The following is a 25,630-nucleotide window of genomic DNA, read 5'->3' on the forward strand; positions in this document are numbered from 1 at the left end:
CAGCTACTCAGGAGGCTGGGATGAGAAGATGGCTTGGACAGGGGAGGTTGAGGAGGCAGTAAGCCATGATTGTGCCAGTGTCCTCCAGCATGGGTGACAGAGCAAGACCTGTCTCAAAGAAAAATTAAAAGATTAAAAAATAAAGTTAAGCAAGCAAATAAAAACATCTACTATCAAATTGGGTTACTTTGTGTCACCTAAAAATTCATATGTTGAAGTCCTAAACCCTTGTACCTCAGAATGGATAAGATCATTGCAGATGTAATTAGTTAAGATGAGGTCATATTGGGGCAAGGTGGGTCCCTAAATACCTGTTGTCTTTATAAAAGGGGAAAATTTAGACAGAGACATGAACAGGGGAAGAACACCACGTGAACATAAAAACAGAGATCAGGGTGATGCGTCTACCAGCCAAGGAATGCCAAAGATGGCCAGCAAACCAGCCAACCACCAGAAGCTAGGAGAGGCATGGAACAGTGTCTCTCTCATAGCCCCCAGAAGGAACCAAATTGGCTAAGACCTTGATCCTGGACTTCTAGTCTCCAGAGCTGTGAGACAATAAATTTCTGTTGTGCAAGCAACCCAGACTGTGGTATTTGTTATTGCAGCCCTAGCAAATGAATATATCCACATATCTGCAGAGCTAAAGAAAGGCCATATCCAATCACGTGGCCAGCCTCGGTGGGTGCTGCAGACTTCTGTGAATAGGCAGAATCAAGTAGCCTGAGTCAGGAAACAAAACCCTTTCAACATTTCAGAACCTGTGACACAATGTCTATAAAAAGACAGTCTGACAGGGAGAAGATCTCATGTCTGACCAAAATTTTTGATCATTAGAAACCTCTAATAATGAGGGTGGTAATTGCCATCCTTAGCAGATGGGCAACCTTAGTTGACCAGGATGGTAGCACTTTTCCCAGTTTTTCCATCCTGGGAAGATGAAGAATTAGGTATATGATGGTATATATAAGAGAATCAAAACCAAGATTAGTATTTTTTTTAAATTAGTGGGCTTTATTTATTTTTATTTATTTATTTATTTATTTATTTGAGATGGAGTCTTGCTCTGTTGCCCAGGCTGGAGGGCAGTGGCGCAATCTAGGCTCACTGCAACTTCCGCCACCTGGTTCAAGTGATTCTCCTGCCTCAGCCTCCCTGTAGCTGGGATTACAAGTGCACGCCAGCACGCCCAGCTAATTTTTGTATTTTTAGTAGAGATGGGGTTTCACCATGTTGGCCAGGCTGATTTGGAACTCCTGACCTCAAGTGATCTGCCTGCCTCGGCCTCCCAAAGTGCTGGGATTACAGGCGTGAAACACCACACCCAACTGATGTTAGTATGTTTTTTATGAAGTAAGAGTCAGTATATATTTGATATGTGCCAGGTGCCCTTTGTCCTCTCATAAAACTTACTACCATCCAAGCTGGAGAGGCACAGGGCTCATGTTGACCCATGAAAGCAGATTGTTATATTTTCAAAAATTTTGCAAGCTCTTATTAAACACTGTTCCAGTCCTTACAACTATACAAAAATGATAGCTAGCATTGTTGAAAACAACATGGCTGAAGCTGAAAGAGGTTTCAATTTAGGGACTAGAATTCGTACAAGGGTGGGAAATAGTTTAACAGCAGATGACATCAGATCAAATGGCAATACTTTTATGGAGAAAAGAGTTAGCAGATAGGGATGCAGCTCCATTTGTCAAATCATGGTTGAACGGCAGCCACAGTTGCAGTCACAGACACAAGAGTTTGGCAAAAATCAACAAAGGCATTCAGTGAGATTCAACTGACCACATGGAATTTACAATAAAGGGTATTGTATAGTTGATTATTACTTGGAAGTTGTGTGCTACATATATTTACTAACATTCCTTTTCTCCCACAGCCAGTTGTTAAACACTTACCCCACTAGGGAGACAGACCATTAACAAATACACGGATAATAAATACGGTAAATTCAGGTGGTAGTAAGAGTTGTGAAGGAATTTGAGCAGAGTGATGTGGCCGAGAGTGACTGATGGGTGGGAAAGTCTTATGACACGGGCAGGGTTGTGAATGGGGAGAGTTAGCCAGCACATGAGGATCAGGGAGGTTATAGGTAGAAGGAAGAGCAAGCCCAAAGGCCATAAGGGAGGAAAAAATTTGCACGTTGCTATCATTGCTATTGTTAGCAGAATCTGCACTTGAGACCCCAGATCCAAGGATTCCACTCATCCCTTTCTTTCCCAGTCTGTAGCTGGGCAGTTGCTCAGGGTCACGATCTATTTGGCCCTGAAAGAAACACCTGGGGTTCCTGACTTCCTCCACAACGTTTCAGACACTATCAGAGTTCTGTATGGTTTAGATTATAAATGTTCTATGTATTCCTTTCTTGTTTCTCTTCTTTGGTGGAATTTGAAGCCATGGAACCTATATTTTTCCATTTTCCTTGTTCCTAAACTATCTTTCTTACCCAGGTCTAAACTAGATTCCATTGGATGTCTGAGGTCCACCTCCAAATTTTCTCCCATGGTAGAGTTGTGTAACCCAAAAATAAAATTCTAAGCCCTCCAACCCTCTGAATGGACTCCTCCTCTCGGCAAGGGCATCCCAAAGTTAACCTGAAAAAACAAGTTCAGGCCATTATGGAAAGTGGGAGCCAGACATGCCTCATTATACCCTCTTCCTTTTTGGAATTACTGACAGAACAGACTCTTTAAGTCTGATAAGAAACATTTACAAGCTCTCTGAAGCCTGCTACCTGGAGGCTTCATCTGCATGATAAATCTTTGGTGTCCACAACCCCTTATCATAACCCAGACATTCCTTCCGTCCTTTCTATTGATAATTACTCTTTCAACTAATTGCCCAGAAAATCTTTAAATCCTCCTATGACCTGGAAGCAGCCACCCCATCTCCAGGTGCTTCCAGTTGTCCCACCTTTCTAGACTGAATGAATGTACATTTTACATGGGATGATTGATGTCTTGCCTTATGTCTCCCTAAAATGTATAAAACCAAGTTGTGGCTCAACCACCTTGGGCACATCAGGACCTCCTGCGTCAGGAGGTCACAGGAGGCTGTATCATGGGTGCATCCTTAACCTTAGCCAAAAAAATCTCTAAGTTCTTTGAGATCTGTCGCAGATACTTTTGGTTTACGGTTGTGATTCCTCCAAGTGCCTCATTGCTAGGCTCATTTAATGATGTGGTTGGGGCTAGCAATTCTTTTTTTCAGTTTGGCTTTGGAAATTTACAGCTCCTAAAGTCAAACCAAAGTTTTGGGGCAGGTGTTTTGATTTTATATACCTTCAGTAATTGCACTTACTTGGTCCTTGTTGGTTCCTGAAATTCAGATCCTGCCTAGGCTCTGGGGAAATGCTCAAAGGATGTTTCTTTGTCATATAACAACAACACAGTCAACTCTTAAATGTCATGACTGTAATTCATTCCTTAATGATGGTGCAAATGAGTTAAATCTTTCATATTGTAGACTTTTAACTTTGCAAACATCCTTTAAAAAGCCATTACAGGGATATGCTCACTCCAACAGAGAAGTGCTTTGGCTGCAGCATGAAATAGCTAATTCATAATTTAAAGTATGATGCCTCTCCCTTTTCCCCTTTTTAGATAGTTTATAAAAAGGGAAACTTTCTCCTGTGTGTGCTGAGGGGCTGGATTTTTCACTGGCTGTTTGCCTTCCGAGCACTTTCTTCATGGCCAGCACTTATGAGCAAGCCTGGTGTGTTTAACTTAGCTGGTGAAATGATCAACGGTAAACGTCAGTTGCTGACATTAGAGCCAGCTGCTTGAAGTGTCAGCGCAGCTGCTTTGTGAGATGAGAACAAGATCTTACTGCTGCTCCTTGTTCCGTGGCGAGGCAACAAGAAAATGCCCATTATGAACCAAGGGGCTCATAACACATTCATTTTTACTCCTTTTACCACCAGCTCAGATTTCTATAGAGTGAAACCTAAGTTCAGAAATCTGGAAGCAAATGCAAAAAAAATGTACCCCTGCTTCTGAAACTGTGCTCTATTACTCACGGATTTCAGGATCTGCTTTTTCTTTTTTTTGATTGTATGACTCACATAGATTTTAAGGAACCACCCATGAGGGCCCCTATGCATTTGGATAATTAAGATTCTTCCTGGGTGAAGAGCAACAGTCCCTTCTTTCTGAATGACTGAAGATTTAAGAGCTCTGCATGCCCTGAACTACACTGTCCTGCGGTGAGGCTTTGTTTTCCCTTGTTCTGGTCCTGCTGGACCTAGAGATTGGGGTGCGAAGGTGCTTAGGGTGCAACAAAGGAAAGAATTGAGCAGGCCTGGACAATGTCACCTCACCAAAGCGGGGGCAGAAGGCAGCAGAGGAAAGGTGCTTAGTGCAAGCCTAAGGATCTTGTAAGCCTTTGTAGCCCGGACTCTGACCAGCCTGTTGTTTCTTTAACATCCTGCATTCAAGTATTTGATGCAAATATGATTGCCTCTAGGCAAGAGAATATAAATATTTGCCGAATGTATAATTGAATGGAAAAAATAGCTGTGTAAGTGAGGACAGCGATGATCTCTTCTTGCCTTCTTCTCTTTGTCCTGCTCCCTCTCCTTTCTTCCTTGGTTTTCAAAGAATTCAAAACAAAACAAAACAAAACAAAACAAAATGTAGAAACCTGTTTTGTCCTGGGAGTGTAGTTTCACCAGCTCCCTGCTGTTCCAGTCTATCCAAGCTGTCAATCAAAGCAAACAACAGAAGTTGGCTAGCATTCAAAGGAAAAATGTGTTTTATTACACATTTTGACATATGTTGGATGATTTAGTAAGATCATGGTGCCTTGTCTCATTTTCGAAGACTTCCTGAGTTCATTTTTTTTTCTTTTTTTCATAACTTTCATTGAACTTTTAATGGCCTTTTTGTATTTTTCTCATGGAGGATGCTTCATTAATAGAGGGACTATGTCCAGTAGGAAAATATAAAGTGGTTTTTTATTTTTAGAGAAAACAGGTACTAATATGAAATGGATGAAGTGCCTTCCAAGCCCATGGTTTCCAGGCTGTGTACCAAGGTGCCCTGGGGTGCCACTGGATATTTTAGAATTGTAAGGAAAGCACAGTGATACCTGACACCCATTCAGGTACCACACAAACTATTAGCTCACGGTAGTTGACAGCGTCACCATTAGATTGTGCAACATTTCAACATTTCTTTTGATTATGTCATATTACTTGTGAAGCTGGGTCTACTGTGCCTATCCTGTGGCACTACGTGCAGAAACATGAAACAGGAAATGAGGGTGGTGGTGTCCAGTCTAATTCCAAGGCTTGAGAAGTGAGAAAAGAGGCTGGGCATGGAGGCTTACTCCAGTAATCCTAGCATTTTGGGAGATCGTGGCAGGAAGATTGCTTGAACCTGGGAATCTGGGACCAGCCTGGGAAACACAGAGGAAGACCTTGTCTCTACAAAAATAAAAATAAAAATTAGCTGAGTGTAGTGGTGTACAGTGGTAGTCCCGGCTACTCTGGAGGCTGAGGTGGGAGGATGGCTTGAGCCCAGGAGTTGGAGGCTGCAGTGGGCTATAATCATGCCACTGCATTTCAGCAGAGCAAGACCCTGTTTCAAAACAAAACAAAGAAATGAGAGAGAGAGAAAAAGAGAGAGAGAAAGAGAGAGGAAAGAAGAAGATAAAGAAGCAGAAGGAGAAGAAGAAGAAGAGGAAGAAGAAGAAGAATAAGAAGCAGCAGCAGCTAAGAGAAGAGAAGAGGCGAGAAGAACTTTTATCTGAGGAATCCAAATCCTTTTAAATTACCAAGCCCAGAGAGACATTAAAATCAAACAGCAATCACATTCTATCGCCTCCTTTGAGCTACATATTCATCTCTTGAAATTGCTTGCTATTGCTACAAGTATCTATAAATTAACCTAATAATGTTGCATCAGACAATACAACCCATACCCTATAGCTGAACAATGTATAGCCTATCACTAATCAATGTTATTTCTGTAAACTAATGAGAATTCCTGATAAATAACTTTGTATCAGCTTACTCCCTGTTCCTTTTTTTTTTTTTTTTTTTTTGCCTTTAAAAACCTGCTTATTAACAAAGTCCAAAGGAAGCTTGTATTCCAGGTTCCTAGGGTCTGAATCTCTGGGGCAGCTGTCCTCACTTTCACTCAAGTAAACTCTTTAAATTATATTTTGTGCCTCAGCGTCTTCCTTTTAGTTTGACAGAAGTTATGCAGTGTTCAACAGGAAAATGCATCCCATTAATAGGTAACTTTAATTATTTAAGAATGAAATAAAATTATTTTATTTCAATTTTTATATACAGTTTTTCAGACTAAGTTGTTAGGTCATAAATATTTATCAAGTTGCTTAGACCTAATTAACAAATAGCTCTGGTAGGCGTTTCTTTTGGTTTAGGGACGGGGCACTGAAAAATTTACTGAGACTCTGAGAGTGCCACAAACAAAAAAAAAAGCTGGGTAGTTTTGGACCAAGTTATCTAAGAAATAAATATGCATAAGAGCATGAGAATAACTGAGGAATATGAAATAAAACTTACATTGGAGATGAATATGCAAGGTACTGGAAATCTAGGGGCATGTGGCAGCAGGTATAGAAATGCCAGCTGATCCTTGGGGAGGGACTTTTCTGTGGCAGCGTCGTGACAGGGGTAGCGATACATGGCTCCCAGGCCACCTCTCATTTTGCCCCACACTATTGACGGATGTCACTGGTCCATTTGGACATACTTTCCCATGGAGTTTACATGCATCTTCAGAATCCTTCTCAACTTAGTGATTCAAGCAACCAGTGATCTATCAGAGGTGACACAGGAGACAAAACCTACTTACTCTTCCTGTTCTAAGTCAAATTCCCAGCCTTACAGTCTCAAAAACTGAAAATTTCTCATTCTGTCAGGACTTTTGTAGCACCTGTGATCGAGCCTGTCCCTGGCATGCAGAGTCATACTTAAATAATGAAGGGAATCCATTGTAGGAGCCAAATCCCAACTCCAGAATTTGTCCCAAGCCCCTGACCTACCCCCTGCCTGCTTTGACAGATACTCTTGGCTTCTCTCCCTCCCACCTCACCCATTCCGTGAAACCTCTTTAGTTGGGAGCTGGTGTTCAATCTTCTCCTCTGTGTTCAGTCCCCCTGGTCACCTCTAGACTCGCTTTGCTGGTGTTGACCTCAATAGCCCTCCAGGACACGGCTCTTGGGATCTATGCCCTGATGTTGCTGGGGTCTTAGGTAGAAGCCCCACCCCTCATTAAGCAATCTCAGGTCCCACTCCTCCCCAAGTCACTATTTCAGGGAGATGGTTTGGGTTAGACCTTGATGTTCTCAAATTTGGGAGAATTTGCTCAAACTAATAGGACTTGTTGTGATAGGTTAATGTGCTCTGTTAAGATGGATGGATTTTATTTAGCAGGCAATTGGTGGTTGCTCAGGTCTATCTGGGGAAAGTAACTTGGGTTGTATGATGGATAAATTGGAAAGAGAGCGTTCTTAGGAGAAAGGACCTGATGTTTTAGCTGTCTGCAATCTTAATTACAAGCTCTGAGAATATAGGAATAAAAATCAAGTGCTTTTTCTCTTCTCTCCCTCACCAACAATCAACACAGAAGACTTCTGTGACCTCTGGTCACTGACCAGTATGTAGGGATTTCTCCCCACCAACAACCAATCAGTTCTGCAGTGAATGCCAGCTATGTGTCTTATAATTCGGCTCTAACACTGTCTACCTGGAGATACCATCAGAACTCAGAGTTGAGCGCTCAGTCCCACAAGACTGTCCTCCACTTGTGATGCCAATCACACGCTCCAGACTGTTTGACCTGTCCTTCTGACTGACCGGCTTCAAGTTGGGGCTCTTACGATGCTCTCCTTGGATTTGATTAATTTGCTAAAGTAGCTCCCAGAACGCAGGAAAACACTTTACTCAACATTTTTTCATTTATTGTAAAGGACACAGATGAAGACATGCATGGGGCAAGGCACGTGGGAAGATTCACGGAACGTCCAGACCTTCTCTAGATGTTCCATTATCCAGGAACCTCCATATGTTCAGCTATCTGGAAGTTCTCTGAACCCAGTCCTTTTGGACTTTTATGGAAGTTTCATTATGTAGGCATGATTGACTAAACCCTGGAAGTTGAATGGTGGGGCTAAAGTCTGAACCCTCTAATCCTGCCTTGGTTTTTCTGGTGACTAGGCCCCATCCTGAAGCTCCCTAGGGGCTGCCAGCCACCAGTCATCTCATTAGCGTAGAAAGATACTTATTGCTTTGAAGATTCCAAAATTTTAGGAGTTCTATGCCAGGAAATGGGGATGAAGAGCAAGTATATAGTTCACTTTCACAATATCACACGAGCCAATCCATAATGGGGCTTCATGGCTGCACAGCAGTCCGATGTCAACATGCTAGAGAAATTTAGCATACATCTCCAGAAAGGACATATCTGTTCTCTATCCTGCACTGGTCAGACTCTGTCTGTGTTGCACTGTTCAGTTTCAAGAGTCAGATTTAAAACAGACGACGATGTGACAAAGACTCTCTCTTTGACCAAACTTTAGTCAGGCTCCCCTGAGCCCCTTTTTCAGTGAAGCTTCAAAGAACTTGGCATCCATCCTGACTTTGGCCTGTCTAGCCTAGTTGTAGCAAGAATCACACTAAGTCAGTTTAGCAAGAATCTCTCCACCCTTGATATCTGACCACTCTGGCCTGCCTTCAGCAAGAACCCTCCTACCCCAAATGTCCCCTATTTTTACTTTTCTATCCACTGACCCCTCACTCTGCCCCTTGGCTATAAATCCCCAGCTATCTTTGTTGAGCCTGATCTCTCTCTCCTATTGCAGTTTTGAATAAAGTCTTCCTTACTGTTGGGGCTCACAACACCATACCCCAAAATATGGCACCTTGGAAACTGAGAAGACAGCAGAAGCAGAAAGATCACACTCTGACCTTCTCCACCTTTTTCCCCTGAGGCCATAGAAAGAGTTCTCTGATCTACCTCCCCTGAAAGTGGGTCATAAGACCTTCATTCCAGAGGGGGATCTGCCCTATAGCCAGGCAGAAGATTCTGAACAAACAGGCCTTGCTAAGTTACCCCAAGTTTATTACCATTAGATCTGTCAAACAAACAAAATTTCAACATGTGTAGTTTAAAGATCTCATTGACTTTGATTATCAACTCATAAATTGAGCAGTATTCCATCTGAAGATGAGCTGAGCAGAGGAGATGGGCTTTATAGGCAAAAAAGGCAGAAGAAAGGAGAAGCAAGGAGCAAAAACTGGATTGGTCATCATAAAGTTACTTTTCTTATAGGCTTAAAACAGAGGGGACTTTCTTATCATGCTGGCTGAAGTAAACTGGGCCCTGTGTAATTGGTTGCTGTGAATCTACTGTTTTTTGGTGCAGGAACTCAGTCCAAAACAATGGCCTCCCATCAATTTTCTTTAACAGATTGATGAGGTTTGGATATTTGTCCCTTCCAAATCTCATGCTGAAATGTGATCCCCACTGTTGGAGGTGGGGCCTAGTGGGAGGTGTTTGGGTCATGGGGGCAGATCCCTCATAAATGGCGTGGTGCTGTCATTATGGTAATGAGTGAGTTCTCACTCTATCAGTTCATACAAGAGTTGATTATTTAAGAGCCTGGCACCTCCTCCCCCTCTCTGGCTCCTTCTCTCGCCATGTGACACGCCTGCTCTGCCTTTGCCTTCCGCCATGATTGTAAGCTTCCTGAGGACCTCACCAGATGCAGATGCTGGCACCATCCTTCTTATAGAGTCTGCAGAAGAGGGCCAAATAAACCTCTTTTCTTTATAAATTACCCAGTCTCAGGTATTCTTTTGTAGTAAGGCAAAATAGACTAATACACAGGTCATACCCTTTGTCCTCTAATCACACTTCTGCATAACCGTCCATAAAAATACAGTTTCCCTTGGGTCATTGAGTCTTCATTTCTGAAGGCTCTTGTGTCACCTAAAAACTTTGATGAAATAAATTTGTTGTGCTTTTCTCTTGTTAATCCATCTTTCGTTATAGGGATGTCAGCCATAAATCTTGCAATGGGTAAGGAAAAGATATTACTTTCTCTCCCCTATATTACCATTTTAACAAGTGTCAGAATAATTTTTTCTTTACCAATTTATACACTATAAGGTGTTCTGAAGGGGTGACCAAAAAGTGAAAATTCTTAAAATCACATTACAGTTATGTGCTGCATTGTGACGGTCCAGTCAATGATGGACCACATAAGATTATAATGGAGCTAAAGAATTTCTATTGCCTAGTGACGTTGTAGCCATCATAATGTCGTAGCACAACAAATTACCTTATGTTTAGGTATGTTTAGATACACAAATATGTAATCATTGTGTTACAGCTGTATCCAGTATTCAGTACAGTAACATGCCATGCACATTTGTAACCTAGGAGCAATAGGCTAAAGCATATAGCTATAGACTAAAAATAAAATGCTAAGCCCCTACTAACTGAACAGACACTCTCTTGGCCAAGGAGACCCCAGGAAACCTCAAAAATTGAATTCCCAGCCATGATGGGAAGGGAGGTTAGACATGTCTTGTTATGTCCCCTCTCTTTTGCAGTTTAGGCACAATTGACCAGCATTAATGTTAGAATAGAGATCATAAGATGAACAAAACAGTCTCTTTGTGACAATAAGACACCACATTATAAACAGGACCTAAGGCCATACCGGACAAGGGTTAAGTCACACACCCCTTATAGCTCACTCTGTATTGGTTAACAGACTTCCTTATCTCAACTTCAAACATTCCTTTCTTCTAAGTTTTTAGACAAAGCTTTACTCCTTTAACCAACTGCAAATTAAAGAATCTCTAAATCCATCTATGACCTGTAAGCCCCCGCCTCCCACTTCAAGGTATCCCACTTTTGGGGGGCCAAACAAATGCATGACCCCCATATATTTTGATTTTATGACTACCTGTAACTTCTGCTTCCCTAAAATGTATGAAACAGAGTTGTGACCTAGCTGTCTTGGGACCACTTAGTGAAGGCTTCTTGGGTTTGCACATTTCCCCAGACTATGGTCATGCATATTGGCTCAGAATAAACCTCTTTAAAATATTTTACAGAGCTCGGTTTTTCCACTAACATAGGCTAAGTAGGCTATACCATCTAGGCTTGTGTGAGTCCACTCTATGATTTTTGCACAAGGATGAAATTGCCTAATGACACATTTCTCAGTATGTATGCCCATCGTTAAGTGATGCATGACTTAGATTTGAGTTAAAGGTTTAGAGTTTTTTAAGCCTTAAATCAATTCTAGAGGATTGAATTACTAATTTCAAAATTGCATCAGATTGTTTCAATGTTACTTTTAGGGATAAATGTTAAAAACACTAATTCCATAATTAATCACCACAATTTAATTTTTGTGTCTCTCAAACTGTTTAGTTGTTTAAAAAAAAGAGAGAAACAAGGAAAGTGAGTGAATCCCATAGGTTTCCAATTAAATAAGCAGTCAATCTATAACATCAGAGATATAATTTAAAATAGAGCATGGATTATGGTCTGCCTGTATTTTAGTTTCTTGTGCAGTAGCGGGGCTAAGGGCTAGGAATCTGTCACATGGAGGCATATCTGAAAGTCTGGTGGGGGAATTTCCTTCAGGAGAGGGTCAGTAGGAAAGACCAAGGGAGCCTCAGGGCAAAAGAACTCAGGTTGAGGGAGGAGAGCTGATGTAGTCAAGCCGGAGTAAAACAGGGACTATACTGCTTACAGGGACTGTACTGCTTATCAGATTTTCTTCATCAGGGACTGTTGAGAGGGACCTGGGGAGACAGGATGGTAAAAACCAAAACAGTTCTATCAGCAGCTCTAGAAGCTGTTGGAAGAGAATGGCCACTGTACCTCACTCATTCTCGTTTTCTTCACCCCAAGGAGGCATTTGTTTGGGAACTGCGGCCTTGTGTGGCTCAAGCTCCAGCCGAGGAACAGATGGTGCAGCGAGAGGGTCTTGCAGCAACTAGACCAAGAAGAAGGACACGCAGATGCCATTTGCTATCATGAGGTCTGTTTCTGCCAGCAGAAGAGTGGAGCTTCACGCCGTGACTGACAAGATGCCTTGGCCAGCAAAGGTGATGCATTGAACTTAGGTGGAATTTCAAAAGAGCTGAGGTTCCTATAATTGGATGGATAAGACAGGATGTAGGAAGAATAGCTCTAGGATTATAACTTTGACTAACTTTATGTTCAAACTGGTGTTGCCAAGGAAAACATGATTACCTTTGTAAAGATATGGGTAGTGATTTTTAAGAGCCTGGGAACAGATTTATACGTCTTCCTAATCCTAAAACTCCCTGCCTGGTGCAATGCCTTGTACCCATAGGGGTTCATACAATGTTTGTTGATTTAAAGTAGATTTCAGAAAACATTATACAACAGTCATTTGTCTTTAAATCCAGTTCAGCAGCAATTAATAATAATCATAACCCAGGCATCTAGGCAATTTGTGCTCATTGTCTCATTTAGTGCCCCAGGCGACCCTGTTGAATGAGTACAACCTCCATTGACGAAGTAGAAACAGCGGCTTCCAGGTGGACAGCTTGATAAAGGCAGTGAAAGTCTGGCTCTCCTCTGCACATAGTACTTTTGAATGCAGATATGTGTAGACGTCCATAAACAGCAGACCTCAATTGAAAACGGGAAGCCAAGATTTGGAGCCAGGTCTGTTTGAGCATAAAGTGTATTGTTTCTGTCACTCCTTTCAAAAATGAGGCCTTTCTGAGCTTCCTCTAGTCTGCAAAGTACTGCATGATTGAAGAAAGAGGGAGAGAGGCTTCTTTGTCTAGAGGCCCACCAAATTGAACTAAACAGACAGCCGAATTTACACACGGAGTACTAGAGACTTCTGAGGAATAGAGATGGGTCAGAGAGCTCCCTTCATGACTGAGCACTGTCTGTGTGTCAGGTGCTGTTCCATGCACTGGAAACTACAGATGCACAGCCACACTTTGGATCCAGAGCCTCAGCCTTTTTATGCCTTTATTTTTGCAGCTGTGATATGTATTTTTAGGATTATTTAATGTATTTCTAGACCCCAGACAAGTCAATCTGATTTTAATGCTTCTCACTCGTGATTTCCTTATAATTTGGTGGATAATTGAGGTACCATGAAATAATAAAAAAAATGTGGATACCTCATGCATAATATATGTTTTTGTTTATTAATTTATCTTTGTAAAAAAGTAGAAAATGATGAAAAGGCAAAGAAACCATTCAATTCACCTATAATCCTATCACTGGCAATGACCACCTTACCAATGTCTTTTTTATACACACACACATACACACACACACACTTACAAAACTAGGATTATTGTCTTGTAAATTTGTGTGTGTGTGTGTGTGTTCAAATAAAAATAGCTCTCCCCCCCCTCACTATAATCTATGCACATTGTATGAAAACCAGAAAACAGGGCCAGGCACGGTGGCTCATGCCTGTAATCCCAGCACTTTGGGAGGCCAAGGCAGGCAGATTGCTTGAGCTCAGGAGTTCAAGATCAGCCCAGGCAACATAGCGAAACCCCATCGCTACGAAAAATACAAAAATTTAGCCGGGCATGGTGGTGCTTGCCTATAGTTCCAGCTACTAGGGAGGCCAAAGTGGGAGGATTGCTTGAGCCCTGCAGGCAGAGGTTGCAGTGAGCCAAGATTGCACCACTGCACTGCAGCCTAGGCAACAGAGCGAAACTCTACCTCAAAAATAAATAAATAAAAACAAAAACAAAACCAGAAAACACAGAAATGTGTAAAGAAGGTGTTCTTGTTTTGTGGGTGAGTCTAAAAGGACGGTTCTGGAGAACTGCCCTGTTTCGTGGGGTTGAGGGACAGGGAGGGCACACTTGGAAGAGGACGACATTCAGGGTATGTAAAGCTGTAGACCTGGTCCACGAAGGACTCCCTGCCGCTCAGGGTGTGTGCTTCTTCTTTGCTGTCTCTTTAAACTTTGAGATCATCCTCAGACCAGAAGGAGAAACCTGGGACGTGGTCCAGTCAGGAAGCTGCTTATAAATAGAAAAAATGGAAAAATCTGCTGGGGGAGAAGCAGGTGAGGGACTGACCAGAGGCCACATGATCATCATTGAGACCAAGTGCCCAAGACATAGCTCAGGGCTGTGTGAAGGAGTAGAATCAGACCCCACTGTACTCTAATGAGGTCTGTAACCCAGTGGCTCTCAAACTTGAACGTGCATTAAAATTAACCAGAGGGATTGTTAAAGCACAGATCGCTGAGTTCCACTCCCAGAGTATCTGACTCAGTAGGTTGAGGGAAGGCTTGAGAATTTGTTTTCTAAGAAATGTCCAAGTGATGTGGATGCTGCTGGTTCCTGGAGCACTTTAAAAACTGTCGCTGTAGGCCAAAAAGGAATCACAGAAAATTCTACATATGCCTGAGGAGGCTACTGTTTAGGATAGCTTAAAACCCACAGAATGCATTTGTGGGTGGGAGACTGAGAAATAGTAACCCCTTCTCCTGGGGTGCCTCATACCTGGAGGCTGATCTAGGGGAAGACAAAGATTCCACTGGACCTATGTCAGCGCTCCCCCAGATGCCTTCGGGTGACGACCTGAGTGGCTCAGCCTAGCCTGTCATCAAACACTGGGTGGGACTAATAGTTTGGCAGGGCAAGAACTAGGACATCTAGGTGTGTGTTTGATGAGAGGCTAGGAATGATGAAATGGTAGGAGTGAACATGTATAAGACTCGAACTGCTAATAGGGCCCAAATTTTGCTTTTTTTTTTTTTTTTTTTTTTTTTTTTGAGGCAGAGTCTTGCTCTATCACCCAGGCTGGAGTGCAGTGGCACAATCTCGGCTCACTGCAACCTCCACCTCCCAGGTTCAAGTGATTCCCCTGCCTCAGCCTCTCGAGTAGCTAGGATTACAGGCACCTGCCACCATGCCCGCCTAATATTTTTGTATTTTTAGTAGAGACAGGGTTTCACCATGTTGGCTAGGCTGGTCTCAAACTCCTGGCCTCAAGTGATCCACCTGCCTTGGCCTCCCAAAGTGCTGGGATTACAGGTGTGAGCCACTGTGCCTGGCCGATTTTGCCTTTTTATCATTGTCTCTATAGAGGCTAAAATAAAAACTCTTTAAGAACAAAACACTTGTGTCCTTAAACAGATCTTTTTTAGAAAGTAAATATAGAATGGTACTGATAAGTGTATGTGAATGTGCAAGAGTGTGCATGCACACGTGTTGTTGGAGAGGGGGTGGTATGGACATTTTTCTCCATAACTTTGCACTCCATTCTGGGAGAAAAATAACTTTCTCAATAACCAGAGGCGCAGCAACCAGAAAGGAGCAGATGGATTAGGTGATCTGGTCAAGAAAGCAAGGACTGTAAGGTGAGAAAGCCTGACATGGAGAAATGGGGCTGTGAGCCCAAACGACTTTAAATATTTGAAAAAGACAGATCCTTTGGATTATTTTATTTAGATTTTGGGACAAAAATAGGACAAATAAGTGAAATTATAGAGATGCTAATTTGGAGTTAATAGAAGTATGTTTTTAGTAATTAGAGCTGTCTGACCATAAAATGGACTGCACAAGATAATGAACTTTCCTAAATGAACATATATAAAAATATTAATAATATTATTTACCTGAGTCTTGGCAAAGAATAATTTTCAAAAATGATAAAATTATGACTGTCATTCAGGTAGAAAATGAATATATTTTAAAGATTCTGCTTAGCTCATCATTTACTGAGGGAATCAGGCAAATATATCATAATTGAGAGAACTCAGAAAGCAGATATAGTTCTAGATCAGGGATATTAAAATGAATTTTCAGATAGGTACAAAACTGGCTTTTGTCCCTCTACCACCAGATATAATTTATTTGCATGTCTGTAGACAAAATTTTGCAATGCTATCATTTTTCTGTAAGTTACAGAGTTATAATATAGACTACTCAAAAAAAGTGCATATCCTTATAGAATGAATTTCTGAAGTCTCTAGCATTTTCGTGAAAGAATATCCAGTAGTCTCTTTTGCTTGTTTTAAAGTGTTAAAATTTTCCTTATAGTCTCCTCTTCTTAGTAAAAATAACCTCAAAAATAGGTTATTCTTGATCACTAGTTTTTATATTTGGCCTGATTATTTACATGGGCATAACAAGAATGTAAATTTACCATATAGGCCGTGACAAACATATCTAAGTTTGTTTTGCTGAAAGTTTTCATGAAGAATGTGATTGGACTTTTAAAAGCCTTTATTATTTCCTGAGGCTAGGAAACCAAAGCCAAGAAACTCTCCACTAGATTTCACTTGCGGTACCTATAAATTTGGACAAATTCCTTCTCACCTGTAAGACTGGGACCTTTAAGCCAAATACTGGGACAGTTTTCCTGGAAGGGCTTTGTGATTATTGGCTCCAAACAGGCCATCTTAGTGCCTTAAAAGTGCTTGTTGTAATACCTGATTAAATAAACATTATGCTCAAAAATTGCATTCTAGGTGTTGGTTGAATAACAGATTTTTCCAATTATATTCTGGTGAAAGGACATATTATTAATGACTCTTTATTAGTGTCTTATTGCTGACAAAGCAATACTAATGTAACAAATGTCTACAAACTTACTGGCTTAAAATAACACAAATTTATCATTTTACAGTTCCAAAGGTCAGAAGTCTCAGATGGGTCTCAAGGGGCAAAAGCAAGGGGCTGCATTCCCTCTGGAAGCTCTAGGAGAAAATGCATTTCTTTGCCTTTTCTACCTACATTTCTTGGCTTGTGGCCCCTTCCCTTATCTTCAAAGCCAGCAACTAAGCATCTACAAATCTCTCTCTCTATTTCTGACCTGATTTAGCTGAAAATAGTCAAGTAGACATACAAACTAGAGTAAAAAGTCTAACAAATCATTTAGAGAATAGGTCTCTATAATTCAATAATTCATTTACAGAAATCACCAAATGGTCAAACCATAAACCAAATTCCCAGTCATTGCTGTCACCAGTGAGGAACAACTTATCAGCCATAAACAAATCAAAAACAAAAACAAGCCAGGCATGGTGGTTGCACACCTGTAATCCCAGCAACTCAGGAGGCTGAGGGGAGAGGAGTACTCAAGCCCAGGAGTTTGAGACCAGCCTGGGCAAAATAGAAAGACCTTGTCTCAAAACAAAACAAAACACAAAATTGGCAGAGGGAAAATTAAAATTAGAAAAACAAGGAGTAACTTTGGGAGGTTTGAGGCAGGTGAATCACTTGTGCCCAGGAATTAGAGATCAGCTTGGGCAACATGGCGAAACCCTGTCTCTGCAAAAAAAAAAAAAAAAAAAAAAGATATATATATGTATAAAAATATATATAAAATATATAAATATATATATAATATATATATATTAGCCCAATATGGTGGCATATGCCTGTAATCCCAGCTACTCAGAAGGCTGAGGTGAGCCTGGGAGGCAGAGGTTTCAGTGAGCTGAGATCACACTGCATTCCAGCCGGGGCAACAGAGCGAGACCCTGTCTCAACAACAACAACAACAAAAGCAAGGAGCAAGCAAAGTTCTGTTGTCATTTTGATTTCGCCTCTAAAAATTAAGAATGGATGTGCCTGGACTTAAGCTGCCCATGAAGCTGCCCATTTCTGTTGATGGAGTTTACCTGGCTCTGTCACGTGAACCCACTGAGCATCTCAGTGGAAGACCTCCAAAACTGCTAGAGGATAATTTTAGTTTTTTAATTTAAAAAACTTTTTAAAAAATTTTTTGAGACATCACTGTCGGCCTGGCTGGAGTGCAGTGGTTAAGATCTCACTTCAGCCTCTGCTTCTGGGTTCAAGAGATTCTCCTGCCTCAGGTCCCTGAGTAGCTGGGATTATAGGCATGCGCCACCACGCCCAGCTAATTTTTGTATTTTTAGTAGAGATGGGGTTTCGCCATTTGCCCAGGCTGGTCTTGAACTCCTGAGCTCAAGTGAGCCACCTGCCTTGGCCTCCCAAAGTGCTGGGATTACAGGTGTGCCTTTTCCTAGAGGATAATTTTAAGAAAAAGTAAAATCCTGATTCTCCTTCAGATATAAGGTGAATACATGTAAAAGATATTATTTCACTCATTATTTACTGAGGGAATCAGGTTGATGGCACAACCAGTTCAAAGGAAAATCCAAAGAACAGACACATATATGGATTGGGAATATTAAAATGAATTTACAAATAGATACAAAACTGGCTTTTTAATGGAGGGAGGGGGCATTTTCCTTCCATCAAAAATTGTTTGCTTTGCTAGCATAGTTGTGGTTAAGTGTGCAGACCCCAAGAGTCATGGCACTTGGACCTGAAGCTGGGAGCCACCATTTTTATTTATTTATTTTTAGAAATGGGGTCTTGCTATGTTGTTCAGGCTAGAATACAGTGGCTATTCAGAGGTATGATCATTATGCACTACAGCTCGAACTCCTGGCCTGAAGTGATCCTCCTGCCTCAGCCTCCCAAGTAGCTGGGACTACAGGCCCTCGCCACTGCTCCTGGCTGATCCTCCACTTTTAGCTATGTGGCCTTTGGAAAGTGACTAAAACAGGAATCAGCAAACAGCCCAAGGATAAAATCCAGCTGCCACCTCTATTTGTAGAGTTCTTAAGCTAAGAATAGCTTTTATATTCTTAAGTGAATGAAAAAAAAAAAAGAAAAATAATATTTTATGACACATGAAAATTATATGAAATTCAAAATTCAGTGCCCATAAAATAAGTTTGGTGGGAACGCAACCATGTTCATTTGTTTGCATATTGTCTATTACTGCTTTCAGTTCTACAGTGACAGGGTTGAGTAGTTGTGACAGAAACCATCTAGCCTGCAGATCCTAAAATATTTAATACCTGGTTCTTTACAGAAGAGAGTTTTACAACCCCTGAATTATCAGTAATATACTTCTCTAAGCCTTGGTTTTATCAATAATAAACTTGTCTAAGCCTTGGTTTTCCTGTAAAGTGAGGAACTAAATGATACTTACGTATGGGTGCAGTGGCTCACGCCTGTAATCTCAGCATTTCGGGAGGCCAAGGTGGGTGGATCACCTGAGGTCAGGAGTTCCAGACCAGCCTGGCCAATATGGTGAAGCCTGGTCTCTGCTAAAAATACAAAAATTAGCTGGGCGTGGTGGCGTGCGCCTGTAGTCCCAGCTACTCGGGAGGCTAAGACAGGAGAATTGCTTGAACCTGGAAGGCAAAGGTTGCAGTCAGCCAAGATCCTGCCACTGCACTCTGGCCGGGGCAACAGAGAGAAACTCTGTCTCATGGAAAAAAAAAAAAAAAGTACTTACATCATAGAACTGTGGTAAAAATTCACTGAGATGATGCATAGGAAGCACCTACTGTAGTGCCTGGCTTGTGGTGAACTCTATAACACATAGCTAATCAGTCCCTCCTGGAAATTGTTTATATAGATACTGGGATATAAATGTTCCCCTTTTTCCTTTGGGGTCTCTAAGTTAGGATGATATCACCTAGAAATGTCTATAGTCATGCCTATCTCTCTACCTCTTCCACAAAAATAGCAACACTAATAGTATATTAGCATACATTTATTGAGCACATTCCATGTGTTGGGTACCGCTGTGAGTTGCTTGTGCCTTTTTAAAAAATGTTTGAGATAGCGTCTCGCTCTGTCACCCAGGCTGGAGTGCAGTGGCGAAATCATGGCTCACTACAACCTCGCACTCCTGGGCTCAAGCTATCCTCCTGCCTCAACCTCCCAAGCAGCTGGTACAAGCATGCATCACTGTGACTGGTTAACTTTATTATTTTTAGTAGAACAAGGTCTTACTATGTTGTCCAGGCTGGTCTTGAATTCCTGGGTTTAGGTGATCCTCCTGCCTCGGCCTCCAAAAGTGCTGGGATTACAGGCATGAGCCACCATGCCTGGCTCTGCTTGTGTATTATCATCTCATTTAATCTTTACAACCACCTTATAGGGTAGGTAGGTATTATTATTGTTGTTGTCTCTGTTTTACAGATGAGGAAACTGAGACTCAAAGAGCTTAAGTAATTTATTCTAAGTAAGTAGTGGAACCAGCTTCAAGCTGAGGCAGTCTGACTGAAGAGCCATCCGCTTATGCTATCACCCACATAGAGAACACCCACCTGCAGCAGAGAGAACGAGGCCAGCTCCCTAAAGGAGGCAGCCCCATGAGATGGAGGAAAGAAAGGGAATCCTACTAAGAGCTCCCCGTTTTCCTGTCATTTTGTTTTGTTTTGTTTTGTTTGACAGAGGCTAATGTGGCTTTCTGACACCAGAGACAGAAATATGCTCAGGAAAATAAAGGATGAAAAAGACATGGATGTTTCCTTCCAATAGCTCACAGGACAGTGGGGGAGACAGACAGACAAACAAGCAAACGGAAAGAAGACAGGAAGCACTAAGGGCTAAAGTAAAGCCACCTTTTAAATGCTGCGGGAGCACAAGGAAGGGGACTCAACACAGCATCAATTAGAGACATGTGTGTCTTCCACGTGTTGGGCACTGTGCTGGGTGCCCTGCGGTTGACTCTGTTAATATTTCAAGTAGAATGAAATAATTTGCGTCCTTTGCTTTTTGGGCCTTTATTGGTGCCTCTTCTGCAATGAATACAGGGTACCCTACAGTCTGCTAGGATTCAGTGTTGGTTCATCTGTGATGTGGCATTTCTTACTTATAGTTTAATTATGATTGTTCTATGCCAACAATGCTGCAGTGAGGTCTGCAAATGGGCTAGGGAAAGCATTTGTTAAAATATAAAAATGTAATTAAAAAAAGTCAGGGTTGTCTTTCCACTAGCCAAATTATATACTTGCTTACATTTTAGGTACTAACTTATTAAAGGGGGGTCCCAATTATGTCTCCCTTTCACAATGCAAGCATGCCTTTAGCCACAATTATTTGTTGTTGGAAAACTGCACACACAATTGCAGCCACAGTTGTCTAATTGTAGGCTGAAAATGAAGGGCAGGCAGTTAATTATTTCTCAGATGCCTGATGCTGCATGTCATTAGCTGGCTGTGGCACAGGTCATTGCACAAGGCGTTCTTCAGCTACGAAAGGTAAGAGCCTGGGTGACGCACTCCACTGGGTGTGGACTTGGAGAGTTAAACGCCCGCTCATCTCTGCCAGGGTGTGCTTTGCTCCGAAGAGAACTGACTTCCCTGTCAACCTTTCACTTAATACTAGCTTACCTATTCTCTCTGTCTTGCTTCTTTGTCTGTTCTGATTTCTTCAGGAATCATCTTGTCAGCTGAAGTGGATGTGCGCTTTTAAAAAAAACAAAAATCTTTATTCCAATTTAAATTGTTTTTTTCATTTCTGTCTTCCAGCTTTTCTCATATTAGAAAGATTGGAGAGAATTGTTTCTATGGAAGTGGTGAACATGGGACAGAAGTACTTCTCTCTTGATAAGACCAGCATGTGCAAACCAGGAAGAAAAAGTAAAATCTCCAATAATAGAGAGATAAATCAAACAGGAAAAAAAAAAGTCTGGGTCCGAAAAACACGTGCATTCCTGTAGCAGAGTTTATGCGAGTTTTTTTTTCTTTTTTTCTTTTTTGTGATGAGGTCACTATTACTCACATGGCTGTGTGGGATAGACAGAGAACATGCATAAATAACAAGAAAGCAAGCATTCTAATTTGCGCACCTTGTTTTTTTAAGAGTATAATCATTGGCTGGAATTAATAGGAGCAGCTCTGAATGAATAACTTACTCAGCATGTAAGTGAAATAACTGAGATTAGAATCCTGAATTGTTACCTTGGGCCTGGAGCATTTACCTCCTTCTCTACCTGCTTATCTCCATCTCCTCCAAGGTGTGTTAACCTCATGATAATCAATCACTTCCATGATCAACAATCTCGCTTCTTTTGAGATACTCTTAGGATTTCTGCTCTAAAAACTTAGACTACTGGGACTTGATTTTCTTTGCTTTTTTCTCAGAAATGTATCTCTTTCTTGTCCAGTTGCAGCAAAATCGAGTGTATGCGGAGTTAAACTCCTACAATTAAATGTGCCATTTCAGTTATGGTTTCTTATTCAGAGTTTTACTTTTTTGTGTCTAGATTTCATCTATTAGTTTTATAATCTTCATTGTACCCCCTTTGTGACATAAAAATTCTATTAAACCAGTTTTACAAACATTGGAAGGTTAGGAGCAATAAACATTGGTACAAAAGTCCCAATTGAAATTAAGGGTTTCTCATAAAACACTACCTTTTAAGGAAATATTGCCAAGTATAATATAATTGTCTTCACTGAATGTATCAATCAGAGTTCTTGATTGCAGACAACAGAGGCCACCCTAACTGTTGAGGCAGGAAGAGTTTTATTGAAGGAGTATTAGGTAGCTCACATCTAACACACATAAACTCACATACGAGTTGTTATGATAATTCAAACTCTCACATATACTGTCAAAAGAGTGAAAAGGCAACCCACAGAATGGGAAAAAATATTTGCAAATCACATATCAGATAAGAGAGTAATATACAAAATGTATAAAAAACTCCTAAAACTCAACAACAATGACAATAACAAAACAACCTGCTTTAAAAATGGGCAAAGGACTTGAATAAACATTTATCTAAAGAAAACATACAAACGGCCAATAAGCACAAGAAAAGATGCTCAACCTCGCTAGCCAATGCGGAAATGCAAATCAAAACTACAACGAGATCTCACCTCATATCTGTTAGCATGACTACTCATTAGCAGCCATCCTAATTTTTAAAAACCCAGAAAATAACAAGTACTATGAAGATGTGGGGAAATCAAATCCCTTGATCTTGCTAGTGGGAAGGTAAAATGATGCAACTGCTGTGGAAAGCAGTTTAGCTGTTTCTCAAGAATTACTGTATGATCTGACAATTCCACTCCCAGGGATGTGATATTGTTTGGCTCTGTGTTTCCACCCAAATCTCATGTTGAATTGTAATCCCCACATGTTGGAGGAGAGGCCTGGTGGGAAGTGATTGAATCATGGGGGCGGACTTCCCTCTTGCTGTTCTCATGATAGTCAATGTGTTCTCTGGTTGTTTAACAGTGTGTAGTACTTCCCCCTTGGCTCTCTCTCTCTCCTGCTCTGCCATGTGGAGAAGGTGCTTGCTTCCCCTTTGCCCTTCCACCATGATTGTAAGTTTCCTGAGGCCTCCCAAACCATGCTTCCTGAACAACCTGAGAAACTGTGAGCCAATTAAACCTCTTTGCTTCATAAATTACCCAGTCTCGGGTAGTTCTTTACAGCAGTGTGAGAATGGACTAATATAGTATGTAACCCAAAGAATTTAAAGCAGGAACTCAATTAGATACTTACATCCCAACTTTCACAGCAGCATTATTCACAATTGCCAAAATGTGGAAACAACCCAAACCTTCATCAACAGATGAATTAATAAAGTATAGTGTATACACTCAATAGAATATTATTCAGCCATAAAAAGAAATGAAATCCTGATAAATGCTACAACATGGATGAAACTTGAAAGCATTACGCTAAGTGAAACAAGGCAGACACAGAAGGACAAATATTGTATCATTCCACTTACATGAGGTACCTAGAATAGGCAGATTCATAGAGACAGAAAGTACAATAGATGTTTCCAGGGGCTGGGACAAGACGGGAATGGAGAGTTGGTGTTTAATAGATACAGAGTTTCTGTCTGGGATGACGACATTCTGGAAATGGATAATGGTGATGGTCACATAATACTGTGAATTTACTTAATTCCACTGAATTGTACACTTAAAAGTGGGTAACATGGTAAATGTTATGTTATGTATATTTTATCACAATTTAAAAAAAAAGCAAATACTCCTAGCTCAGGGGCTGTGCACAAACAGGCAGCAGGCTAAATCTTGCCCGTAGGCTGTAGTTTGCCAACTACCGCTCCATGGAATAGGGACACAAGCTAGGCAGAGGCTACAGTGCGTGAGCCTCTTTAGAGTCTCACCACAATGGGTAAAGGAATATGCTCCCTATTAGTCAGCTATGTGTATTTGCTCTTCCAGTAATGCAAGTTCCCCTGCATGAACTGAAAGAATTTCTTCAACTTATTATGCCTCAATACTTCTCTATATCCTTATCGATCATCCTGCTTCCTTTCACCTCAGGCATGGCATTCTTTTATAAGACTGACTCCTATGCTTTTTTCTCTTGATTCCATTTTCTCCCCTCCTTCTCCTAGATTCTTGCTCCATTAATCATCCCTTCCTCTCCGCTGGTTCCTTTCTCTTAGCAGCATGTCTGCCCATATTTCCTCTAACATAAAAGGAAGTTCTCTCAACCTTCCATCCCCCTCCAGCTACTATTTTATCCCTTTCTTCCCTTCACTGTCAACTCTTTAAAAAGAGTAGCTTCCACTAGAGTTACTAAGCTAAACTAAAAAGAGAAGTACCTACGTACTTATTCTTTAATCTACTGCCATCTGACTTTCTGTGAATTGAAATGTCCTTTTAAAGGTATTTCCTGATTAGGAATCTAAGGGCTCCCATCATTTGACCTTTCTGCTTCATTTGGTGTGTTAAGTGCTCCTTCTCAGTCTCCTTTCCAGGATCCTTTACAAATCCATCCACAGTTACTGAGCACTTGCCACCTGCCTGGCACTGCACTGGGTGCTGGGGACACTGTCTGCCCTCCATGCATCTCTAGGTTTTCTTTCCAAGGCTTCCCTGAGCATCTTCTGTTCTTGCTCTGTGCTCCTTCTGCAGGTTATTTACCCACTTGCTTGGTATTGAGAGCTTACTCTATGCCACCCTGTTCTAAGTGCTTCACATGGATGAACTCACTGGACATTTGAAACATTCCCATGAGGTGCTATTAACATCTCCATTTCACAAATGAGAAAATCAAGGTACAGAAGGTAGCCCTAAGTACTACAGCTAGTAGGTGGCCGATCTGGGATTAGAACCAGGCAGTCTGAATGTAGAACTTGCCCTCTTTACACTCTACTGCCTCTCCCTCAGCTTCAAATATCTCCTCCATGCTGACTGCTCCATCTATGACTTCAGTTATTTTTGTTTTGTTTTGTTTTGTTTTGCTTTGCTTCGTTTTTATCTTTGAAATGAGGTCTCCCTTGGTAACCCAGGCTGAAATGCAGTGGCGTGATCATAGCTCATTGCAACCTCGAACTCCCGGGCTCAAGGGATCCTACCACTTCAGCCTCCTGAGTAGCTGGGGCTACAGGGACATGCTATGAGGTCTGGCTAACTTTTTTTATTTTTAGTAGAGATGGGGTCTCACTATGTTGCCCAGGCTGATCTCAAACTCCTGGCCTCAAACAGTCCTCCCACCTTGGCCTTCCAAAGTGTTGGGATTACAGGTGTGAGCCACCACCCCTGACCTATGGCTGTAGTTTTGATGTAACTCCTGGACAGGTTCTTTCCTAACATTTATGGGGCTCATACAAAAACCAAAACGGAGCTCGCATTCTAAATGTCTGAAACTTTTAAAGTTATAAGTGAAACTATCAACTGTTAAGTACATTCTATTATCCTGCTTGACAAATATATCTTCTTAACAATACGGATTAAATTTAGGCTTCTTGGACTCTGTGGGGTTCATGCTGGAACACAGCGGCATTGAACAAGCTGGCTCTTGCCCCTGGACTGCCCCCTCCTTCCC

General features: G+C 41.4%; 1 long non-coding RNA gene across 1 annotated transcript, besides 3 other annotated features; it reads left to right on the top strand.

The window, feature by feature from the left end:
• Positions 3,920–4,613: an enhancer, noted in NCBI's record as "OCT4-NANOG hESC enhancer chr12:69401223-69401916 (GRCh37/hg19 assembly coordinates)". NCBI's record gives its function as "activates a minimal SCP1, AML or CMV promoter by ChIP-STARR-seq in naive H9 embryonic stem cells {active_cell/tissue: H9 hESC(naive)}" and the evidence as "EXISTENCE:reporter gene assay evidence [ECO:0000049][PMID:30033119]".
• On the top strand, positions 4,136–21,808 carry TODL (transcript overexpressed in dedifferentiated liposarcoma). Its single transcript, XR_001749099.2, has 3 exons — positions 4,136–4,213; positions 11,916–12,112; positions 21,337–21,808. It is a non-coding gene; the product is annotated as a transcript overexpressed in dedifferentiated liposarcoma (long non-coding RNA).
• Positions 20,635–21,834: an enhancer, noted in NCBI's record as "CDK7 strongly-dependent group 2 enhancer chr12:69417938-69419137 (GRCh37/hg19 assembly coordinates)". NCBI's record gives its function as "activates an origin of replication core promoter dependent on BRD2, BRD4, P300/CBP, MED14 and CDK7 cofactors, with strong dependence on CDK7, by STARR-seq in HCT116 cells {active_cell/tissue: HCT116}" and the evidence as "EXISTENCE:reporter gene assay evidence [ECO:0000049][PMID:35650434]".
• Positions 22,976–23,205: a silencer, noted in NCBI's record as "fragment chr12:69420279-69420508 (GRCh37/hg19 assembly coordinates)". NCBI's record gives its function as "represses an EF-1alpha promoter that drives an FKBP-Casp9 reporter gene in an ReSE screen in K562 erythroleukemia cells {active_cell/tissue: K562}" and the evidence as "EXISTENCE:reporter gene assay evidence [ECO:0000049][PMID:32094911]".

Source organism: Homo sapiens, chromosome 12, assembly GCF_000001405.40.
Source record: "Homo sapiens chromosome 12, GRCh38.p14 Primary Assembly".
In the NCBI taxonomy this organism is placed as follows: Eukaryota; Metazoa; Chordata; class Mammalia; order Primates; family Hominidae; genus Homo; species Homo sapiens.